General features: G+C 36.1%; 1 annotated feature.

Annotated features, from left to right (window-relative positions):
* Window positions 443-643: a silencer, noted in NCBI's record as "peak6509 fragment used in MPRA reporter construct". NCBI's record gives its function as "represses an SCP1 promoter by STARR-seq MPRAs in K562 erythroleukemia cells {active_cell/tissue: K562}" and the evidence as "EXISTENCE:reporter gene assay evidence [ECO:0000049][PMID:32103011]".

Genomic DNA, 4659 nt, shown 5'->3' on the forward strand with positions numbered 1-4659 from the left:
TGGATTTTTGCCACTCTTGAGGGAAAAACATTCACTCTTTCACCATTGTTTATTATATTTGTTGTAGGGTTTTTTAAATAAACATTTTAAGGGACAGTATTCAGTTTATGGTAAACTTGTAAAGATGGCTAGAAGAATTCTCTCACTGTTTTTCCTAAGATTATCTTATATTAGAGTGGTATATTTGTTGTAAATAATGAACCAATATTGATAGATTATTAACTAAAGAACAGATTTCGTATGGATTTCCTTAGTTTGTATCTAATGTCTATTTTCATTTCCAGGATTCCATCTGGCTTCCCACATTACATTTAGTCATTATGTCTCCTTAGGCTCCTGTTGGTTGTGACAGTTTCTCGGAATTCCCTTGTTTTTGATAACCTTGACAGTTGTGAGGAGGACTAGTCAGGTATTTTATAGAATGTTCCTCAATTTGGATTTCTGATTTTTTTCTATTAGACTCAATTTATGCGTTATTGGTAGGAAGACTACAGAAATAAACAGTTATTTTTATCACATCATATCAGGGGCACATCACTTCAACATGACTCACCACCGTTGACATTGACCTTACTCAGCTGGCTGAGGTCATGATTATCAAGCCTCTCCACTGTAAAGTTCTTCTTTCGCCTTCTCCAAAGCATACTCTTTGGGTGGAAGTCACTATGTACAACCTGTACTTGAGGAGTGGGAGTCAAGCTTCATCTCCTTGAAAGTGGACCCTGCATAAATTATTTGAAATTCTTCTGCATGTGAGATTTTCCATTTTTTTTTCTATTTATTCATTAAATCATGGATCTCAGTATGGACTTATGGAAATCTATGGTTTAGGTTATCAAAAACTTCTTTATTCTGTTGCCCAAATTGCTTTACATTTGGCTATTGAGAGCTCTCTCAGGTTTTCTTTGCTCTTTTTAACAAGCTCCCATTTTTTTGGTCCACTTTCTTCCTTTCTGGCTCCAGGCTAACATGCTCCAGGCTCATCCTGTATATTATTTGCTATGGACATGTAATCAGCCAATCCTCCAAGGAGGATTTGTTTATTGGAGACGGTATTGGAAACCAGGACCTGGTGTTAAATGTGCTCATTGCTACTGGGATGTAGTTGCTGCTAGGTAGTTGCTATCTCAGCTGATAGCACAAGAAAATATAACTGAGGGTACTAACCGATGTGTAGACACACACTAACGTGCACGCGCACGCACACACACACACACATTTCTATATGTACCCACTGAGTCCACATTAAGCTAAACTATGTTCCTACTGATAACTCTAAATCTAATCCATCACCACACCATCATTCTAGCCCCCTCCCCTTGCTTATATGTAAATTCCCATCTGAGAAACCTGGTTTTCACTGCCCATATTCATTTATTTACTTGCTAAATTTCAGCATACATGTATAGCAGTATTAGACTTGTTAACCCATACTTTCATGGGCAACAGCTTTATTCAATAGAGTACAGTGCTTTTTTTTGCCTTTATTATACAGACTCCATTCATTTTAAAGTAACTTAGGTCAGTATTTCTCCCCCTCAGTGACATTGTTTCAAATGTATGTAATAAAGTTAGCTGGTTTTGTCACTTCCTTCATTCCATACTGAGATTCCCCAATCTATAAATCATTTAAAAATTTTGCATAACCAAAGTGTGATGGTTAATACTGAGTGTCAACTTGATTGGATTGAAGGACACTAAGTGTTGATCTTGGGTGTGTCTATGAGGGTGTTGCCAAAGGAGATTAACATTTGAGTCAGTGGACTGGGAAAGGCAGACCCACCCTTAATCTGGGTGGGCACAATCTAATCAGCTGCCAGCTCGGCTAGAATATAAGCAGGCAGAAAAATATGAAAAGAGAGACTGGCCTAGCATCCTATCCTACATCTTTCTCCCATGCTGACTGTTTCCTGTCCTCAAACATCCGACTCCAAGTCCTTCAGTTTTGGAACTTGGACTGGCTCTCCTTGCTCCTCGGCTTGCAGACAGCCTATTGTGGGACCTTGTGATCCTGTGAGTTAATACTTAATAAACTCCCATATATATATTATATTTATATTCCATTAGTTCTGTCCTTCCAGAGAACACTGACTAATACACAAGGCCTACTCATTGTGTTGTAAAATTCAATGGACTTGACAAATGCATAATTTCATGTATCCATAAATACATACTACAAAATAGTTTTATGATAGTAACAAAAATCCACCATGGCTTGCCTATTCACCCTACTTCACCATTCTCTCCAACTTCTGGCAATCATTGATCTTTCATAGTCTCCATAGTTCTGCATTTTCCAGAATGTTACATAATTGCAATCATTCAGTATGTAGCTTTTGAGACTGGCTTCTTTGCAGCTAAGTGGCTTCTTTCACTTGAGAATATATATTTGAGATTCAACCATGCCCTTTGTAGCTCCCTTCCTTTTTTCTCATTAAATAATATTTTGCTCTATAGATAATACCACAGTTTTTAAATCCATTCATCTATCGAAAGATATCATGGCAGCTTCCATTTTTTGGCAATTATGGATAGAGCTGCTATAAACATTAATGTGCATGTTTTTATGGATATATGCTTCAAAATCTTTTGGGTAAATATCTAGGAGTGTGAGTGCTGACTTGTTAAGACTATGTTTAGCCTTGTAAAAAATTGCCAAAATTTCTTTCCACTTAGCTGTACCATTTTGCATTTTTTTTTTTTTTTGGTTTTGAGACAGGGTCTCACTCTGTCCCACTGGCTGGAGTGCAGTGGCATGATCATAGCTCACCACAGCCTTTGCCTCCTGGACTCAAGCCCATCCTCCCACCTCAGCCTTCTGAGTAGCTGGGGCCACAGGCTCATGCCACCATGCACAGCTAATTTTTTGATTTTTCTTAGAGACGAGGTCTCATTATGTTGCCCAGGTTGGTCTCAAACTCCTGGGCTCAAGCCATCCTCCCACCTTGACCTCTTTAAGTGTTGGGATTATAGGTGTGAGCCACTGTGCCTGGCTTCAGTTTGCATTCTTAACAAGGAATGGAATTCATTCAGTGTTCAATAGAGTTCCCGTTCTCTATATCCTCACCAGCATTTTGTATTGTCATTTTTTAAATTTTAGCTATTCTAATATTTTCTCTACTTAATGGCAGCTGATTGTGGTCTTAATTTGTAATTCCTTAATGACAAATGATGTTGAAAATCTTTTAGTATGTTCTTTCCCATCTTTCTGGCTTCTTCATTGAGGTGTCTGTCCGTATTTTTACTGTTGACTTTTAAGGGTTCTTTGTATATTTTGGATATGACTTCTTTATCAGATGTAAACTTTGAAAACATTTTTTCCAGGTCTCTGGCTTGCCTTTTGATTCTGTTACCAGTGTCTTTAGCATAGCAGATGTTGTCAATTTTAATCAAGTTCAATTTATCAAAATTTTTTTCATGGATCATGCTTCGGTGTATCTAAAAACTCATCTCTAAACCCAAGGTCATCTAGACTTTCCCACTTTCTCCCAGAAGTTTCATGGATTTGTGTTTTAGAATTAGGTCAGTGACCCATTCTGAATTAATTTTGTGTAAGTTCTATGCAAAATCTTGTGTAACATCTGTGTCTAGGTTCATTTTGTTGTTGTTAATGTATTGATACTCTATTGCGCCAACAGCATTTGTTGAAGACTCTCCTTTATCCATTGAATTGACTTTGCTCCTTTGTCAAAGATTAATTGACTATATTTGTGTGGGTCTATTTTTGGGGTCTTTATTCTGTTACATTGGTCTATGTTCTCATTGTTTCACCAATACCATGTTGTCATGATTATTGTACCTTTATAAATCTTGAAATTGGGTAGTGTGAGTCCTCCAACTTTATCTTCTTCAGCATTTTGTTGGCTATTCTAGGTATTTGACTTTGATAATAAACTTCAAAATCAGATTAGTATCTACAAAATATATTGGTATAATTTTTATTGAGAATGGATTGAGTCCATAAATCAAGTTGGAAAGAATTAGCATCTGAAAGTATTGTCTTCCAGTCCATAAAATGAAGTATTTAAACCTTCCTTTATCTCATTAGATGTTTGCAGTTTCCTCCCTAGTAGATCCTGTGCTTATTTTGTTAACATTCATATCAAAGGGTTTCTCCTTTTGAATACCATTGTGTATGGTATTTTAAATTTCAAATTCCAGTGGTTTCCTGCTTGTATATAGGAAAACAATTGACTGTTGTATATTACTCTTGTGTCTCTGAACTTGCTATAATCACTTATTTCTTACTAATTCGAGGAGTTTTGTCGTTATTGGTTCAATTTTTTTTTAGATATTTTACATTGACAGTCATGATACCTACAAACAAAAACCATCTCACTTCTTGCTTTTCAACTTTTATTCCTTTATTTTATTTTGTTCTCATTTGCTATGAGCTAGCTAGCTCTTAAAACACGATGTTGAATAGGAGTGGTAAGAAAGGACATTCTGTCTTGTGTTTATTTTCAGGTGGAAAGTGTCCTGATTTTTTACCATTAAGTGTGTTAGCTGAAGGTTTTGTAGATATTCCTTATCAAAATGAGAAAGTTCTTCTTATTTTTCTAGTTTCTTTTTTTGAGAGTTTTATCATGAACAGGACTTGGATTTTGTTCAATTATTTTTCTGGTCAGCTGGCATGACATAATTTTTAATTTGTGTTTA

This window comes from Homo sapiens, chromosome 7 (assembly GCF_000001405.40).
Source record: "Homo sapiens chromosome 7, GRCh38.p14 Primary Assembly".
Lineage (NCBI taxonomy): Eukaryota > Metazoa > Chordata > Mammalia > Primates > Hominidae > Homo > Homo sapiens.